The sequence below is a fragment of the Homo sapiens genome, chromosome 8 (genome assembly GCF_000001405.40).
Source record: "Homo sapiens chromosome 8, GRCh38.p14 Primary Assembly".
In the NCBI taxonomy this organism is placed as follows: Eukaryota; Metazoa; Chordata; class Mammalia; order Primates; family Hominidae; genus Homo; species Homo sapiens.
In genome coordinates this window covers 79,678,300-79,698,486 of record NC_000008.11, presented here as the reverse complement: position 1 = coordinate 79,698,486, position 20,187 = coordinate 79,678,300, and the positions used below count along the sequence as shown (strand labels likewise).

At 40.9% G+C, this 20,187-nt stretch overlaps 2 annotated features.

Annotated features, from left to right (window-relative positions):
• Positions 5,359-5,653: an enhancer, noted in NCBI's record as "tiled region #13175; K562 Activating DNase matched - State 9:DNaseU". NCBI's record gives its function as "activates a minimal TATA promoter and a strong SV40 promoter by Sharpr-MPRA in K562 cells {active_cell/tissue: K562}" and the evidence as "EXISTENCE:reporter gene assay evidence [ECO:0000049][PMID:27701403]".
• Positions 5,359-5,653: a silencer, noted in NCBI's record as "tiled region #13175; HepG2 Repressive non-DNase unmatched - State 3:PromF". NCBI's record gives its function as "represses a minimal TATA promoter and a strong SV40 promoter by Sharpr-MPRA in HepG2 cells {active_cell/tissue: HepG2}" and the evidence as "EXISTENCE:reporter gene assay evidence [ECO:0000049][PMID:27701403]".

Here is a 20,187-nt window from a genome sequence, read left to right as displayed (position 1 = left end):
GAGGAGATGTATTTCAGAAAATGAACTCAGGCTGCATGCTGACACAACACTTTAATGGTAGTAGGATAGCTGAGATTGGGCCTCAGAGTCATCCCCTTTTGAGATGCTGGACTGTATTGACATGGAAGGGATGGCCAGCTCAGTGGGTGTTGCCTTCTTCAGTAGCAGTCACATGCAGGACGTGGACTCTTGGGCAGGAAAATGGCAGAGGACACGTAAGTACAAGTGTAGTGTTCTTTGAGGAGATACTTTTCTGTTTCTTTGAGACAGGGTCTTGCTCTGTCACTCAGGCTGGAGTGCATTAGTGCTATCTCGGCTCACTGCAACCTCCGCCTCCAGGGTTCAAGTGATTCTCGTGTCTCAGCCTCCCAAGCAGCTGGGATTACAAGCGTGTGCCACCACACCCAGCTATTTTTTTTTTGTATTTTTAGTAGAGACGGAGTTTCACTATGTTGGCCAGACTGGTCTCGAACTCCTGGCCTCAAGCGAACCACCCACCTTGGCCTCCCAAAGTGCTAGGATCACAGATGTGAGCCACTGTGCCCAGCTGAGGATATATTCTTTATGCTCTTTCTAACACTTAGAGGTTATAAATTTGTAGATTAGGAAATCTCCAACTCTGGGTGTTTTAAAAAGATGCCTCCATCTCTTCTTTTTCTCCCTCTCTGCTATAGTTTCTTCCTTAGAAATAATTAGATTACAAGGACAGATGTGGTGGCTCATGCTTATAATCCCAGCACTTTGGGAAGCTGAGGCAGGAGGATCACTTGGGCCCAGCCTAGGCAACATAACGAGGCACCATCTCTACAAAACAACAACAACAACAACAACAACAACAACAACAACAACAGCAACAACAAATTGGCCGGGCACCTGTAGTCAAGCTACCCAGGAGGCTGAGGTGGGAGGACTGTTTGAGCCCAGGAGGTCGAGGCTGCAGTGAGCCGACATCACACCATTGCGTGAGACCCTGTCTCAAAAAAATAAAGAAGCGAAGACAGAAAGAAAAAAAAGAAAAAGAAAAGAAAGAAGAAAGAAAGAAAGAAAAAGAAAGAAAAAGAATTAGGGCCGGGTGTGGTGGCTCATGCCTGTAATCCTAGCATTTTGTGGGGCTGAGGTGGGCAGATCACTTGAGGTCAGGAATTCAAGAGCAGCCTAGCCAACATGGTGAAACCCTGTCTCTACTAAAAATGCAAAAATTAGCTGGGTGTGGTGGCGGGTGCCTGTAATCCCAGTTACATGGGAGGCTGGGGCAGGAGAATTGCTGGAACCCAGGAGGTGGAGGTTGCAGTGAGCTGAGATTGTGCCACTGCAATCCAGCCTGGGTGATAGAGTGAGACTGTCTCAAAAAAGAAAAGAAAAGAAAAATTACATTACAGTGCTGTGAACAGCAATGGGAGAAATGAGCATGTCAGACAGATGCACTATGGCTATTTTATAATTTTTTGTGGCCTATGAGTTACTGGGAAGGGCCAGAATGTTGCAGGAGAGTTCACCAGAACTTTGTCTTAGTCATTGTGACAAAGTGGGGAGAGTAGTAAGAGTCTCTCCCCTCTTTATGGAAAGAGTCTCATAAATCCCCTCATCACTAGTAGCTCTTTCATTGCCTTCAGACTCCATATGCCTAGTTATCTTGTCATCTTTCTGTCTGGAAACTTCATGGGGAACTCAGAATATATTATGAGCAAAGCTATAATACCAAACTCTGTGCTGGAGTACTTCTGCCCAACAGCCTGGGAAAACTCCTAACATGATTGCAAGGGTGGGGCAATACTTGCAGGGTTTGTGTCATCGGGGTTGAGGTGTGATTAAAGGCGAGGTAGAGGTGCTGCTTGAAGCCCAGTTGCCTTTCCTAGGGAGGCTCTGGGTTACTCCGGGCCAAGGTCTGCAAGTCATTTAAGAGTATCTAATTCAGTGCTGCCCACAGGATGTTAGATTGTGGAGGAAACTCTGGAGAGCAATTTCAATGGTGGAAGAAAACAAGGCATATGTAATGAGGAGTAGAGGAATCACATAATATTGAGGAAGTAGAACATGGAGTAAGAAGTTAAACTCTGACTGGATGCGGTGGCTCACTCCTATAATCCTAGCACTTTGGGAAGCCAAGGCAGGAGGATTGCCTGAGTCCAGGAGCTCGAGACCAGCCTGAATAACATAGGGAGACACTATCTCTACCAAACAAACAAAAAAAATTAGCCAGGAGTGGTGCCACGTGCCCATAGTCCCAGCTACTCGGGAGGCTGAGGCAGGAGGATTGCTTGAGCCCAGGAGTTTGAGGCTGCAGTGACCTATGATTACACCACTGCACTCCAGCCTGGGCAACAGAGCAAGAGCTTGTCTTAAAAAAAAAAAAAGTTAAATTCTGCTTCATCCTTGACCATTTCTTTTCAGTGTCATAGCACCTGCTAAACTAACTAACCAAATAAGGGATGTGGGTCCCTCTCATGATAAGAACTGATGGGTTTTCACTTGCAGATATATACATATATATATATATATATAAAACATAATGTGGTATTTGTTCCTGTATACTCTCATAGATATTTGAACTAAAATTTCTATACAATGAGAGAGGTTGAACAATTAATGCTTTATGAGATTCCTAAATAATTAAAGGGTTAGATTTGATGCTAACAGGAGTTAGTAACACAGAGGGGATGGAAGTTGGAGCCGAGAGCTGCAACAGTGCCTCCTGCCACATCATGTGAACTCAGGAACCCTATGAGTAAACAACTGGGTGCTTACATGATTTGCCAGCCACCAAACACACGTTGGGATCTCTTCCCCCTCTGCTTGTAGGACCCCTGATCATTCAAGATCAATATTTCCAAAGAAAACAAAATCATTCATTGACACTTAGGACTCTGTGGCTCTGTGCCCACTAGTGGTATTGTCACCAAAGACTAACAATGATCTTTGGCGAATTGTCAAGACTTTGATGAGCTCCTGTGCTCAGGTGCCAATCTGCAAACCTGAATGCTCCGAGGGTAAGAATTCAGGAGGAGTTAGAATGGCCAAGGGATTCAATTTTGGCAATGAATATTCTTCCATCTCCTGGAGTTTTTACTCTGGAGTTCTTGTATATTTCAGCAGAACTTTTTTGTGACTTGGACATTGGGAATGAAATCAGATCTTGGGATCAGCAGTGTTTTGCCCAGCGATCTCAGTCCTATGCCTGAGTCCTTCTGCCTCTTCATTCTTTCTCTTGCCCCTCCTTTATCTTCAGGGTCAGTGTAACACAGGCATTTTAATTTTAGGAATACTCAGCCTGCCTAAACTGGACTGATGTGTGAAGTGTCAGGGTGCCCAGGAGGAGAACTAAGTGCTGATTGATGGCCGGCTTGCAGCCCGAGCTGCAGCCTGGCCCTGCAGCAGCCTTCATTAACAGAAGCTTCTTTGAAGAGCTTGATGTGCTCACTTCCAGATTGTCCCTTAGGCCCAGCTATGGTTCTTCAAAGTCTAAATGTCAAGGCTTGTTCTGCCTCTAGCCACGTGCTAGAGATGTTTTCTGTTTTCCTCAGTCTGTTTTGTCTCTGGGGCCATGGAAATCCTCAACTCATTCAACCAGGAATTTAGTTTCTCATCCTCTTTTTTAGTCATGTGGTTGGTAGGTTTCAAACAGGATTAATACAGCCTCTGAGTTTAACCAGGTTTCCAAGTTGAAATCTGACACTGATTCCATCATACAGGTACAGAAGCAAGGGATGGGAGGCCGCTTCTGTGGACAAACTCAAGGACGGAAAGAAGTAATAATGAGTTTGGAGCCTGGGACTCCTTTAATGGGAGGAAAGAGCTTGTAACTTTGACGACGAAACTACTCTGGCTCCAAAATAAGCAGAAACATGATCCAGTGACTTCATTTCTTCTAAGAATCAATAGAATTAAAAAAAAAAAAGAATTGATCCCATTTTCAAAACAACAGAAAGGTTTCTTTTTCTTTTTTTCTTTCTTGTTCTCTTCCCTCCTCTGCTGCCTCTCTTTCTTCTTTTTTTATTTTAATTCTCTTATATCCTAATGTGAAAGCTCCAAGGAAAGTTATTTCTTCATTGAAAAGTAGATCTGTGCAAATTATTCATTATGCTTTATGATGCCCTGAGTGCTCTATTTATACTGCATTGCTCTTTTATGATGCTTATCAAAGATTATGGATCTAGGGATTAGGAAAAACACTGTTCGGCTTTTATTCATTTCATAGCTATGCCATCCACTGTCTTGGGTGGCGCATTTGATAGGCAAGAAATAAAACTTGGAAAGGTGCGGTGTACCAGGTATTTAAAACTAAATGTAACCATCCATGGAGACCCTAAAGCAGAAGTTTTACCTATACGTTTTCATGCCCTAGAGTCTCACATAGTGTCTTATACAGAGTGGATGCTCATTCAACTTTAACAGTGGACATAGAAGATATTAGTTTCAACTACTGGTCTCCTTCGACCTTCAGTGACCTCCTGGAAGAAAGGAACTGTGTTTTAGAAAAGCAAACAATCCTGAAAAGAACAAACAAGCAACCCCTCCAAAACTTTAGGTTCCACATACTGGGTACCATGTAGCAAAATAATTAACCCATAGTACATGTCTTGGGCTCGATAAGCAATGAAAAGGTTGATTTTTATGTGCATAAACACCTCTGGGTTGCTTTTGAGTGTGTATGTAAGTAGAGAGTCATAGAATGTCAGGTAATCTATTCTACTAAAAAAATTTTCTTTTAAGTAACAAAAGGACCCTTACTGTGCTTAGGCTATAACCATCTAAATGTGTGCTACTAGTCTGGGTAATATTTTAGTTATAATCCCATATGTTAGAATTCAATGTCTGTCACTTGTCAGATTTTTTTCTGTAGAATGCCCAAGAAATCTTTAAGCTGTGAACATGTAGCATCAGAACGTCAGTGTTGAATGAGCCTCTGTGTGCAAAGCCCTGCCTTATATGCCATGTGTGAGGAGTGGGCAGGGCAGGAGAAAGAGCAGACACCAAATAGACCATCACAAGAAAGGTTTTTTTTTGCTTCAGGAGTTTACCACATTGCTGGGTGAACAGGAAATGCACACAAACCCATCATCTCTCAACACCTATGGTATATATGGTTGTTTACTCATTCTTAGCTTTTCAGTAACCCCAAAGAAGGTGTTTTGAGGCTGTTACTATTTGTTTTCTGGAATCAAGGAAAGATAAATGAAGTTTCCTTAATGGAACTGGTATCTATCTGCATGACTGTATTTTACACACACACACACACACACACACACACACACACACGCACACACGGTTTTTTTTGGTTAAGGTGGATCCCCTTTGGCCTTGGCCTTGGTTTGTCACATTCTTTCACACAAACCTGACTACTAAAGATATCAGGTTTTTCTGACAGCTCCTGGCACCCAACAGCTTTCAGCAGGCGTGGTTTCAATTTATATTTAGTCTCTTAGACGCCCTTAGCAGGCTTATTCGCACCATGAGGTGAATGAGGGTGGAATGGCCAGGCCATAAATCATCTTCCTGAACATGTTCTCAAAGAGTCACTTCTAAAGGAGCAGGATCAGGCGACCTGTGTACTACTTTCTACTAACAAGTTCAAAGCTCTTGTAGACAAAGGCCAATTGATCTCAGCACACTTTCTCTTTGGAGGAAGATAGGGTATCCCATTTAGAGAGAGGGAAACTGAGACACAGAGGTGAAGTTACTTTCCTGAGGTCATGGGGAGCTCGTGGCAGAAAGGAATAGAAGCTTCCATCTGGCTGGCTTCTCTGTTACAGCCCCCTGCCTCAGCTTGGGTACAGTGAAGCTAATTTTGATTCAGATCGGATTCCCCTGATCTACTCTTTATCCAACAATGGGAGTGAGTTCTCCATATTTCAACCTGCTTCCCTTGGATGCCAGAAGGAACTTTTGCACTTTGGGGCTTCTGCTAAATGAAATACAGAGGTTTAATCCAGGAGAGCTGATTGTTGGGCCATCGTGGCCTCTCAGCAGCTGTGTGTCTTGGGAAAGTCACTTTATTGTCTGTGATTTGGTTTTCCTATGTGTAGAATGGGAAGGTAATCCTGATGACAGGGCCGGGTTCCTGTGAGGGCCAAACAGGATAATGCACCAGAAAGCCTTTTAAAGCTTTTAACAAATTATTGTGTGCATTTTTTTCTTTTATTTTTATTTCTTTGTGTGAAATCTCCCACAAAATATGTGTTTATTTTCATAAAATGGAAAACTTTATGCAAACAGAAATATATATATAAAGTATTCAACCCCCATGGGAATATTAACTTTCTGTAAGAATCTTTCTACTACTCACTTCTTTTGGAATATTTTGAAACCAGGATTCTTCCTGCTGTCTGTTTCACCTACTGAACCCCACTCTCCTAAGGAGCTTTCTAAAGAGCTTTGTCTCCTTATTGCTATGGCCAGTGGCTTTGTCTTTGTGTTGAAACTGCTTTTACAAGGATTATGACAGTGAGAGAAGTCTAGCATGGCTAACTCCATCTTGCTTCTAGCCTCACAGGCCGGCTACTGTGCTCATTCCTGGGCCTAGGCCAAGCTAACCATGGGAGGAATTTAGTTGATAGTTTAACTTGAAAATGAGGATAATAATAGTCGTTCTCTAAAACGAACCCCCTTCTTTCTCAGGGACCAAAACTGCCTTTGTAAAACTAATGAAAGGCCATGAGATTATGGGAGGGCCTGAATTTTACTAAAATGTAGGTGTAGTTTCTCTGATCCCTTACTGCTCAGGAGTCATGTGGCCACAGGTCACAAGATTTGTAACTTCCCCAGTTGCTCCTATAGATAACATCAGTATTGTAGAACCTAAGACTGGTCTTTTGAGATATTTTTCAGACCAATTCCATCTGGACTTACGACTCAAATGGTCCTGTGGTCAGTCTCCCACCGAGATGGGCTCAGTGCATGAGGACCGTTTTCCACACCTCTGTGATTGCATCCCCAACCCATCAGCTGCACAATTCCCTAGTCCCTTGCCCACCAAATTGTCCTAACCTCTGAGCCTTCAGAGAGACGGGTTGAGTAATAACTCCATCTTCTATGTGGCCGACCCAGATTTAATGAAACTCTCTCCACTGCAATAGCACAGTGAATTGTTTTTTTCTGTGCACTGCACAGGAAGAACCCATCTGGCCATTACAGTGTGCATCCTTCTAGAAGAATGTGCTTCTGATACTTTTTACATCTTCTTGATTACCGTTACTTATTTGGATTTTACCAAAAAACCTATGAAATGTATGTACACAGTGACAGATCAAACTATATCCAGAAGTGTATAAAGAAAAATTTAATCAATTTCCCTTCCCCTCCAATCCTGTCCCACTTCAGTAATCGAAGTTATTAGTTTGGTCGTATGCTTCCACTCTTTTCTCTGTGCTCATGCAAATGCACTTAACTGTGCATGCATAAATATGGGTTTCTCCCCCTTATTTTTTACAGAAAGGAAATCATATTATAAATATTACTTTGCAACTTACATTTTGCTTTAAAAATATAGCACATCCCTTCAGGTTAAAACATATTTTATTTTTAATGGATACATAATATTTCATAGTATGAATATACCATAAATTATGCAATTATTTTCTTATCTGTGACTTGGGAGGTTTTTCAAAGTTGAGGTGCATCATTGGGTCAATATATTTTGGAAGTATTAGGTGCCACAAGATAACTGTTAAAAATAGATTGCAGCCATTTCCACTCCCACCTGCAATATATTAAAGAGCCTGACTCCCCACACCCTGGCTACCACAGATGCTGTCAATACTTCTGATAGGTTTTAATTTACATTTCCTTGATTACGGAAGATTATGAGTATTTTTTCAGATGTAAACTGACTGTTTTCAGTTCCATTCCTGTGAATTACTGTTCATAGTCTTTGGTCTTTTTGTATGGCAGATTTTTTCATATTAATATTAACGCATCTGCTCTATGTAGTTTAGATGTGTTATGGTCTGAATGTTGGTGTCCCTCCCTGCCAAATTAATATGTTGAAACATAATCCTCAATGCAATAGTATTGTACTGCAAAAGGGTGGGACTTTAGAAGGCGATTAAGTCATGAGAGCTCTGTCCCCATGAGTGAAATTCTCTTCTAAAAGAGGCCCAAGGGAGACTGTTTACCCTTCCACCATGGAAGGACACATAGAAGGCATAAGGAACAGGCCCTCACCAGACACTGAAGCTGCTGGTGCCTTGATCTTGGACTTCCAGCCTCCAGAACTGTGAGCAATAAAGTTCTGTTATTTATACATTATCCAGTCTAAGGTATTTTATTATAGTAGCTCAAAAGGACTAATTCAAGATGTTTTCTCCCAGTATGCTGTTTATCTTCTATTATTTATGGCATTCCTTGCCACATGGGAATTTTTAAGTCAATTGCTCTCTCTTTTCAGAAATCTTTTTATTATCTGTGCTGCTTCAATATTTCTGTTTTCCCCCTCTCTCCTGCACTCTTCCTTTTTCATTTATCTCCTGGTTTCCTCTTCTTTTTTTTTTTTCATGTTATCCAGTAGCTGTGAGTTCTGTCCTGTTGGTATTTTTTTCTTCTCTCAAAATTTGGAACAATTCTTTGTCATTTCTCACCTTTATGCTGAAGACATCCTTATCTGTAACTCTAGCACCAACCTCTAGTCCTAGGTGTTCAGTTCCCCATGAGGCATCTGCACTTGGATCTTTCTCCCGTACCTCAGACAACTTGGGTAAGAGGAAATTCTTTGTTTAACCCCTTGCCAAAAGCACTTCTTCCCACCAACTTCTCTTCTATATTCTTTCTCAATATAATTAGTTATCTGTCACCTGGACTTGTGATTTTGGGTTCTTCAATTCTTATCCAACTCACTTAAGGGTTTTCAACCCAGTCCTTTCCTCTCTCTGCCCAATGCCTCCTCCCTGGTCTAACACCTGGCACTTTGTGAGGAAATACTTCCATTTTTAAGGTGTGTGATTCCTCCTACATGGACACAATGTTTGGTGCAGTGTATTAGGAAATGCTCTGTTACTTGGAAGAGTTAAAAACATGGTTCAAGGTGAGAGTTGTGGGCATGGGGATCCTGGACAGGAAACCTCACTAGAAGAATGAAGTCATGTGTGATGCCAATCACCTGGGGAGCAGGTGAGTCCTAGGTACGTCCAGGGAAATGAGAAAGAACTTCCACTAAGAAGGATCTTCTCTAAGTCAGATATCCAGATAGTTGCTCCCATTTTGCATGTTTTAAAGATGGTTTTACCACATGAAAAAGGCTGGAAGGTGAGGGTATCAGGCAAGAAGTATTCAGGGATATCAGCCCTTGGAATGAGTAAAGTGTTCTGAGGAGATCATGAGGAACAGGGTAAGCAAGCTAGAAAAGGATTAGACATTTATGTTTCATAAGTCGAATTGGTTTTCTTGGTATTCTTCCTGTGTTTCCACTCTATTCTCATTTATGAGTTTTTTTTTTTTTTTTTAACAAGTTTTGGCTTGTGTCAGCACTGCTAAGGAGACAGGGCAGCAGACTGCTACTGGGATCATCATGGTAGTGTTAACAAAGATGCTGATGGATGAGCTCAAGGAAAAAGGGAAGGTACTGAGTGAGAGCAGCTAAGTACTTGGGAGGCAATGCAGTGAAGCGATGGAGGATGCAGGCGGCACAGCTAGGCTCTGGCTCCATCACTTGCTAGCTGTGTAACTGATATGGTCCCTACCCAAATCTCATCTTGAATTGTAGCTTCCATAATTCCCACATGTTGTAGGAGGAACCCGGTGGGAGATAATTGAATCATGGGGGTGGTTTCTCCCATTCCCATACTGTTCTCATAATAGTGAATACATCTCATGAGATCTGATGGTTTTATAAGGGGTTTCTGCTTTTGCTTGGCTCTCGTTCTCTCTTGCCCGCTGCCGTTTAAGACATGCCTTCCACCATGATTGTGAGGACTCCCCAGCCACGTGGAACTGTGAGTCTATTAAACCTCTTTTTTTTTTTTTTTAAACAAATTACCTAGTCTTGGGTATGTCTTTATCAGCAGTGTGAAAATGGACTAATACAGTAATCTTCAGCAGGTCTCTGAACAATTCTGTGCCTCAGTTATCTTATCCATAGGTGATAATAATAATAATATCTACTTCATGGTTCCTGGGAACATTAAATGAATTAGTATGTCAAGTCCTTAAAATACAGTGACTAGCATATAGTAAATATTCACAAGTATCATTATTATATCACCTCTCCTTTGTAATAGGAGACTATGCTTTGGGTACTTAATTTTGGAGACTCTGCAGTTTACTCTGATAAGGAAGATGACCTTCTTTTATATCCTTCATTCCCTGAAAAATATACTAAACTCCCATTTGTCACCCTCGCTAGATTTTCTAGGCTCTAAACCAAGCTTGTCTAACCTAACTTATTTTGTTGCTGTTGTTCTGGTTTTTTGTTTGTTTGTTTGTTTTAGGCTTTAAGCAGCCTGAAGCCATGGTTTATAGTTTCTGTCTCTAGTGATAAGCAGAAAAGAGGGATGAGGAAGGGGCTTTACTGGCCCAATCGGAAGCAGAAACTAAGAACCCATGACTGTATTCTCTCCCTTGGACACCCCTACAACCATAGATTGCATCTTATCATCAGAATATCCTTCCTCAGAGTGTGCTTGACCCTGGATTCATTCTGTCTGTGAACATCATCTTTTTTCCTCACAACTTGCTTTGTTGAGGTTGGTCTCATATACAATCATTGTTTCTACCTCTTTGACTTCCTTAAGAATATAAGAATATTCCTTTACCTGGAATGTTCTTCATTGCCAACCACCCTCCACCTCCACCTCTGCACCTCCCTCTACAGACGCTACCTATTCTTCCAGGCCTAGTGTAATCCAAAGTTTTCCAGAAAGTATTCTATGGCTACCTTAGTTTTCAACTAGTGGGTCATCTCTACCAGATGTTTTGCTGGCACCTTGAGCGCAACGTGTTTAAATCTGAGGACTTTAACCTCCACTTTTCCCATTCATTTTCCTACAGTTTTTCTCCTATTGATGCCAACCAGGGTGTGAGTTGAAGACACCCAGTCGAGATCCGGTAGAAATTAAGAACACCCAATAGAGATACATTGTCCTTGACACTTCTCATCCCATATTCTCAACACTAATTGGCTATCATGTCACCTTGGTTCTATATCCTAAGTAATTACTCCATCCCTCTCATTGGCTTTTGTTTGGACTATGGAAATACATTCCTAATTATCTCCTTTCCTCTAATCATGTTCCATGGCAAACAATCCTCCTTGCAGCAATTAAAATGGTTTTTTGAAGATGCAAATGTGATTGTCTGAGTCTCTTTTGATATTCAAAGGCTTCCTATTGTGTAAAGCTGAAATCCCCCTCCTTTTTGCTATCTGGTCTCACCTACTACTGTGATTATGTCCCATGATTGCTCAACTTTGGCTGTGGTTCAGTGATGACTGAAGCACGATGCCATTTCCTCACTCTGTATTTTGCACACTCAGTTCCTTCTACCTGGAAGACCCTTCATTTATGAGTCTACTTGGAAAACACCTTCAAGACTCTCCTCAAATGTCACCTTTTTTGTGATATTTCTCCTAGTTCTCATGCCCACCTTAATGACTATTATCTATCTATCTACCTATCTATAAACAAATAGTCCAATCTTCACTGTTGTAAAATTATATGTGTGTGTATATATATAAATTATTTTTTTCTCCTCCTCTACCTTCCTGTAAGAATATATGTATATATAAGTACACACACACACACACACACACACACACACACACACACACACTGCATTGAAAGTAAATGATTTGGGTTGGACGCGGAGGCTCATGCCTATAATCCTAGCAGTTTGGGAGGCCAGGGTGGGAGGATAACCTGAGGTCAGGAGTTTGAGACCAGACTGGCCAACATGGTGAAACCCCATCCCTATTAAAAATACAAAAAATTAGCTGAGAATGATGGTGCACACCTGTAATCTCAGCTACTCGGGAGGCTGAGGCAGGAAAATTGCTTGAACCCAGGAGGCAGAGGTTGTGGTGAGCCAAGATCGAGATCGTGCCACCGCACTCCAGCCTGGGTGACACAGCAAGAGTCTGTCTCAAAAAAAAAAAAAAAAAAAAAGAAGAAAGAAAGAAACTAAATGGTATGTTTATAGGTCTGCCAGTCCCCATCCAGACCGTGAGTTTCCTGTGGGTAATTGTGGGTTATTCATATTCTTCTTATCTAGCATGTGCTTTACACATCGTAGGTGGTCCATTAATATTCACTGAATAAGTTAATAAACAGAACAAACATGCTCTTTACAACTGGAGTATAAAGTCTGCAAGGGCAACCACAGTGCCTTTTCCATACTTTTCATCTCACTCATGCTCTTCACTTAGTAGGTGATCAATAAATATTTATTGACAATCTCTGTGAAATTCTGCCACACAGAAAGTGTTTTATAGTATTTGAAAATGTTTTAATGCATATATGCCATGCTCTCATAATTAGATTTACATTCTTTCAGGATAGGTGCACTTTATTTATATGAGTGAGATGGAGTCTTGCTCTGTTGCCCAGGCTGGAGTGCAGTGGCGTGATCTTGGCTCACTGGAACCTCCACCTCCCGGGTTCAAGCGATTCTCCTGCCTTAGCCTCCCATGTAGCTGGGATTACAGGCATGCGCCACCAGGCCCGGCTAATTTTTGTATTTTTAGTAGGGACGGGGTTTCACTGTGTTGGCCAGGCTGGTCTCAAACTCCTGGTCTTAAGTGGAATCCCCTGCCTCGGCCTCCCAAAGTGCTGGGATTACAGGCATGAGCCACCGCGCCTGGCCAAGAGCAATCTTTTATACGTTGCTATCCCCACAGTTACTCATGCAGTGCTGTTGAATGAATGGCCTCTGATTGAATAACCAGGTAGCAAAGCCTGGATTATTTCCTTCCAACTTTTATGACATTTTACTTCCTGGAACAGTATCTGGTCTCTCCTATTAATGGTTTCTGGTGAAAATGTTGCCAAGGCCTCTGGGAACACTCCTTTTTGGGCCCAGCACAGGCTCTAAGCTCTTTATACAGGTCCCGATGTGCTCTGACAGGAATAACATCTCTAGGTGTCTCAGATATCACTCTGAAAGCACCTGGTCATTGACTTTCTCCAAGAAATGGCAGTGCTCCAGGGCTTGCTCATTTTGGCTGGTGGTGAATAAAAGGGATTCCCAGGCAGCCTGTCGAACTTGGGTGGCCATGTTCAATTCTGCCTTAACCAGCAGAGAGCTCTTGCGTGTTTCCTTATCTGCCAAACAAAAACGATAATTGCCTGTCATCTATCTCAATGAGTTATGAGGAAGCTAAACAAGACTATTCAATATGAAGGAAGCACAGGTTGGAAGTGCTTGAACAGCATAAGTACTGAATAAAAACCAGAAGATTCCTTCTCATCCAGTATTAATACCTGCTGTGACCTATAGCTGAGTGATGGGAATTATAAATGATTAGGAAGTGGAGATTTGTTCCATTCGATAAGGATACTTAGAGAACTATGAATATGAAAAGCCTTTTTTTCTTCCATTTTAATTCATTTAAATCCAAACACAGTATTTGTCATCTTCAAGGATTTTATATTTATTAGTAATGTAAAAAAATGAATAACATTTTAGGTCTGAGTCCTCTATTTCTTAACACAGGAGTGCCTCCTTACAAAATGATGGCCTGAGTCAAAACTGTGGTTGTCACCTGTGATCAAATATTGCCCCCTGGTGGTCAAAAGTGATCTCACATTTTTCTCAAGAAAGGGAATCAATCCAAAGGAAACAGACCAATCTCTCTCTCTCTCTTTTTCTCCCTCTCTCCCATTTCTCTGCCCCACCACAACTTCTTTTCCTACTTACTGTCCTTCCTATATCCACCATGTTCTTTTACACCATCATATCTGCCATGTACACTTTTATCATTCGTTCCTGAATAGACTTACTTGTTCAGTTTATAGTCAAGGAAACATTTATTGAGTACCTACTATGTGCCAGGCATTTGTCACCACCTCAGACAGGAATTTTTGGGCCACTTCATCTTAGTTGATTTCTCCCTTTTCTCTCTAACAGAGCATGGTTCTCATCATTTTCATGGTCATTTCCCCAAGTTGTGTGAACGTTTATACTTATTTGCTGTCCACCTCCCCTCATCATTTGACGTCTATGAAAGCAAGGAGCATGTCCATTTTGATCACTATTGTGTACTGAGCACCTCGACAAATATTTGGCACTTAACGGTTCCTCAATAAAGTTTGTGGAGTGAATGGGTAAAACCTAAATCATTTCAACTGCGATGTGATAACTGTTGATAGAGGCAAACACAGAGGGTAACAGGAGAGCGGAGAGCCAGCCAACTTGGGGAAGTGGGGAACATGGAGATGTGTTCAAGACAGGTTCCTGAAGGAGGCCGTTGGATGTCTGAGAAGCAGGAGGAGGCAGGCAAACCAGGAGGAGGAGCAAAAGCATCCCAAGCAGGGAGGGCAGCATGAGCAGAGGCACGGGCCTGAGGAAGAGCATGGAGTATATGGGAGCTGTGAGTATTGTTTGGTAACGTGGGAGGGTGAAGTTTGAGGGAGGTATGGTAGGAGGTGAAGCTGGCTAGGAGGACAGAGATCAGGTTGTGGAAATTCCTGTATGCCATGCTTAAGACTTTCCAATGAGTAACTGGAAACCTTTGTAAGAGCATGAGATAGCTACATTTGTGTTTTAGGTTTGCTTTTTTGCAGATCACCATCTGCATGACCTCAAAGCTGAGGATCAGGTTCTATTCATTTATGTGCAGGGCCTGGCATGCAGGAAGCACTACACACATGTTGAATGCAAACATGAACTAGAAAGAAAAGGAGTGTCTTTTTTTGGTAGAGATGGAGTTTCACCATGTTGGCCAGGCTGGTCTCAAACTCCTGACCTCGGGATCTGACTGCCTCGGACTCCCAAAGTGCTGGCATTATAGGTATGAGCCACCGGCGTGATGGCAGGTGCCTGTAATCCCAGCTACTTGGGAGGCTGAGGCAGGAGAATCGTTTGAACCCGGGAGGCCGAGGTTGCGGTGAGCCGAGATGGCACCATTGCACTCCACCCTGGGCGACATGGTGAGACTCTGTCTCAAAAAAAAAAAAAAAAAAAAAAAAAAAAAGAGAAGGAGTGAAATAAGGGCAGTTATGAGGGGGATGGTATATTGCAAGTAGAAGATAAGAGAATGGGCACGTTTGTGTGTAGAAGAAAGAGCAAAGGATAGGGGATGAAGGTGAAAGTTTTCTCCCAATGAGTAAACTCCATGGTAGATCCTCAGTGAATGTTTGTTGAATGAATCAATGAACCTTAGAGCTAGTTACTAGAGAAATATGGAGCTGAAGTTGTTGCAATGAAATTCTACAGATTCTGCAAAGTTTGCTGCCTGCCAGGCACAGAGCCAGTTGCATTAAACAAGTTCTATTTTTGTTCTGGGCTTGTTGTATTGCTCACTCTGTAGAGTCTTATTGTATATGCCATTTAAAGACCTAGACCGTTGATTTACTTAGGTTTAACTTACACTTCATAAGGTTTCAACTATGAAATAAGTAAGGAAACTCTTCTGAAATCTGAGTATCTCTCCCAGAAATTGGCCCCTACCTAAAAATTTACAGGTTTTGTTCTTGGTGTGCTATTATGAAAATTAAATTTTGGCTCATTCATGGGGTAGAATTTTATCTTAAATTTATAGATAGAACAAAACCCATTTTGGGGTAGTTTTTGCATGTTTTTCTCTTTGTAGAGACATTGAAATTCATGGGTTTTAAAATAAATATATTACATAAGAGTAAGTTTCACCGTGTGGCAAAAACCTTTCTAGATTTCATTGCAGTTGCTGGAGGACATGAAAACTTGAGTCCGGCACAAAAATTTACAAATATTCCGGATTTTGTAAAACTCTTGAGGAATGATCTGTTTTTAGTGAGGTTTCTTATATTTTTAAGTGTATTGAATTCTTTAGTGATAACAGAGTGGGAGGAGCCTGGTATGAGATTTGAAAAGAAGTCTGATTTGAATTTAGACTCCAGAGAGTTTCTCTTTATGAAAATAATTTTTGGGTGGCATTTAAAAAAATTCCTAATAGTTATGGCCTTTAAAAAGATGATTAACATGGCCAGGTGGGGTGGCTCATGCATGTAATCCCAGCAATTTGGGAGGCCAAGGTGGGTGAATCGCTTGAGCTCATGAGTTTGAGACCAGCCTGGGCAACATGGAGAAACCCCATCTCTACTAAAAAATACAAAATTACCTGGGTGTGATGGCAGGTGCCTGTAGTCTCAGCTACTTGGGAGGCTGAGGTGGAAGGATTGCTTGAGCCCAGTAGGCAGAGGTTGACAGAGTGAGACCCTGTCTCAAAATAAATAAATAAATAAATAAACAAATAAATAAATAAATAAATAAGACCATTAGCAATCACGATAATGTCAGAAACTACTCTAATTATGCCAAACAGAAAGAGATTAGAAGAAATTAGGTGCTTTACTAGAACTTTGGAAGTGCTGAAAGAGTGAAAGTCAGAAGGCAACCGCTTTAACTGTGATCCAGAAAATCAGGAAGTTTCTGCTGCCACCACCCAGGAACCAGGAGATGGTAGGAAAGGCCACCGCCATGGCACAGTTGTGCTAAAGTGACAGGTTGTCAGGGAAACATAACTACCTAAAACAAGCTTGCCCAACTTGTGGCCCATGGGCTGCATGCAGCCCAGGACAGCTTTGAATGTAGCCCAACACAAATGCATAAACTTTCTTAAAACATGATGAATTTTTTGCATGATTTTTTTAAAGCTCATCGGCTATCCTTAGTGTTAGTGTGTTTTATGTGTGGTACAAGATGATTCTTCTTTCAGTGTAACCCAGAGAAGTCAAAAGATTGAACATCCCTGACCTAAAAGACCATGTTTGCTGAAATCCACACATTCACTGCCAATTACAAGAAAGGCCTCTGCTCCCCTTCCATCTTCCAGATCTGGTGCAGGTACATGGCATTGCAAGAATCTATAGAGTATCAGAAACTCCAGTAGCAAAGAAGACAAGGAAATGCAGCTCACAGACTTTTAGTCCCTGGGAAGACTACGGGAGGAAATGGAAATGATGCTGAATGACATTAGATAATATCTGGCATATTCATCAATAATAATTAAAATAGTTATAAATTTATAGATTTTTTATATTGACACAGTATATCCTTGACTAATTTTTCAGAAATTGAAAAGTAACTTTTATGAGTTTTATATGTCTAAAAATATCTTTATTTTGAACTCACATATGACTGATTATTTGGATGGATACAGGATCTTAGGTTCAAAATTATTTTCTCAAGACTTTAAAGATACTACTCCATTATCCAGTAATGGGATGGCTGGGTCAAATGGTATTTCTAGTTCTAGATCCCTGAGGAATCGCCACACTGACTTCCACAATGGTTGAACCAGTTTACAGTCCCACCAACAATGTAAAAGTGTTCCTATCTCTCCACATCCTCTCCAGCACCTGTTGTTTCCTGACTTTTTAATGATTGCCATTCTAACTGGTGTGAGATGATATCTCATTGTGGTTTTGATTTGCATTTCTCTGATGGCCAGTGATGATGAGCATTTTTTCATATGTCTGTTGGCTGCATAAATGTCTTCTTTTGAGAAGTGTCTGTTCATATCCTTCACTCACTTTTTGATGGGGTTGTTTGTTTTTTTCTTGTAAATTTGTTTAAGATCTTTGTAGATTCTGGATATTAGCCCTTTGTCAGATGAGTAGATTGCAAAAATTTTCTCCCATTCTGTAGGTTGCCTGTTCACTCTGATGGTAGTTTCTTTTGCTGTGCAGAAGCTCTTTAGTTTAATTAGATCCCATTTGTCAATTTTGGCTTTTGTTGCCATTGCTTTTGGTGTTTTAGACATGAAGTCCTTGTCCATGCCTATGTCCTGAATGGTATTGCCTAGGTTTCCTTCTAGGGTTTTTATGGTTTTAAGTCTAACATTTAAGTCTTGAAGCCATCTTGAATTAATTTTTGTATAAGGTGTAAGGAAGGGATCCAGTTTCAGCTTTCTACATATGACTAGCCAGTTTTCCCAGCACCATTTATTAAATAAGGAATCCTTTCCCCATTTCTTGATTTTGTCAGGTTTGTCAAAGATCAGATAGTTGTAGATGTGTGATATTATTTCTGAGGACTCTGTTCTGTTCCATTGGTCTATATCTCTGTTTTGGTACCAGTACCATGCTGTTTTGGTTACTGTAAACTTGTAGTATAGTTTGAAGTCAGGTAGTGTGATGCCTCCAGCTTTGTTCTTTTGGCTTAGGATTGTCTTAGCAATGCGGGCTCTTTTTTGATTCCATATGAACTTTAAAGTAGTTTTTTCCAATTCTGTGAAGAAAGTCATTGGTAGCTTGATGGGGATGGAATTGAATCTATAAATTACCTTGGGCAGTATGGCCATTTTCATGATATCGATTCTTCCTATCAATGAGCATGGAATGTTCTTCCATTTGTTTGTACCCTCTTTTATTTCGTTGAGCAGTGGTTTGTAGTTCTCCTTGAAGAGGTCCTTCACATCCCTTGTAAGCTGGATTCGTAGGTATTTTATTGTCTTTGAAGCAATTGTGAATGTGAGTTCCCTCATGATTTGGCTCTCTGTTTGCCTGTTATTGGTGTATAAGAATGCTTATGATTTTTGCACATTGATTTTGTATTCTGAGGCTTTGCTGAAGTTGCTTATCAGCTTAAGGAGATTTTGGGCTGAGACAATGGGGTTTTCTAGATATACAATCATGTCATCTGCAAACAGGGACAATTTAACTTCCTCTTTTCCTAATTGAATACCCTTTATTTCTTTCTCCTGCCTGATTGCCCTGGCCAGAACTTCCAACACTATGTTGAATAGGAGTGGTGAGAGAGGGCATCCCTGCCTTATGCCAGTTTTCAAAGGGAATGCTTCCAGTTTTTGCCCATTCAGTATGATATTGGCTGTGGGTTTGTCATAAATAGCTCTTATGATTTTGAGATACGTCCCATCAATACCTAATTTATTTAGAGTTTTTAGCATGAAGTGCTGTTGAATTTTGTCAAAGGCCTTTTCTGCATCTGTTGAGATAATCAATATAAATCATGCTGCTATAAAGACACATGCACATGTATGTTTATTGCAGCACTACTCACAATAGCAAAGACTTGGAACCAACCCAAATGTCCAACAAAGATAGACTGGATTAAGAAAATGTGGCACATATACACCATGGAATACTATGCAGCCATAAAAAATGATGAGTTCATGTCCTTTGCAGGGACATGGATGAAGCTGGAAACCATCATTCTCAGCAAACTATCGCGAGGACAAAAAACCAAACACCACATGTTCTCACTCATAGGTGGGAATTGAACAACGAGAACACTTGGACACAGGAAGGGGAACGTCACACACCGGGGCCTGTTGTGGGGTGGGGGGAGAGGGGAGGGATAGCATTAGGAGATATACCTAATGTAAATGATGAGTTAATGGGTGCAGCACACCAACATGGCACATGTATACATATGTAACTAACCTGCATGTTGTGCACATGTATCCTAGAACTTAAAGTGAAATAATATATATATATATGTATATATAAAGGGAAAAAAAAGATACTACTCCATTATCTTTCAGCATTTAGAGTTGCCAAAAGTTCAGAGGCAATTTGATCTTTATTACTTCATAAGTAAGTTATTTTTACCTCTGTTGAAATTTAAAGGATTTGAAGTTTCAAACATGAGCATTTGTGTGGGTATAGTCTCTTTTTATTCACTCTGTTTGGCACTTGGTGGGTTCTTTCTATTCTCTGACTCACACTAGTACTAGAACATTTTCTTCTGTTATTTCTTTATTTTGTACATGAACTTCCCCTCTCCAACCTAAATGATCTAGAAGAGCTTTTAGATGAATGTTGGAACCCTCCACCCATCCTTCTTTCTTTTTAGCTTTTCTTTTAATGGGAGTGATATGCTCTGTTCTTCATTTGAGGATATTAGCTATTCTTATTTCAAAGCCCTCTATTTTCTTCATTAAGCCAATCTCAGATTTTCTGTTCATTTGTTTTTGTTTCTGTTTGTTTTATTTTAGTGTCTCTATTTTATGGCATTTGCTTTTCTCAAACATTGTGATTCTCTGTGGCATGCTCTTCTTTATTTCTGAGCTTTTGTTTGCAGGCATTTGAATGCCGTTTCTAT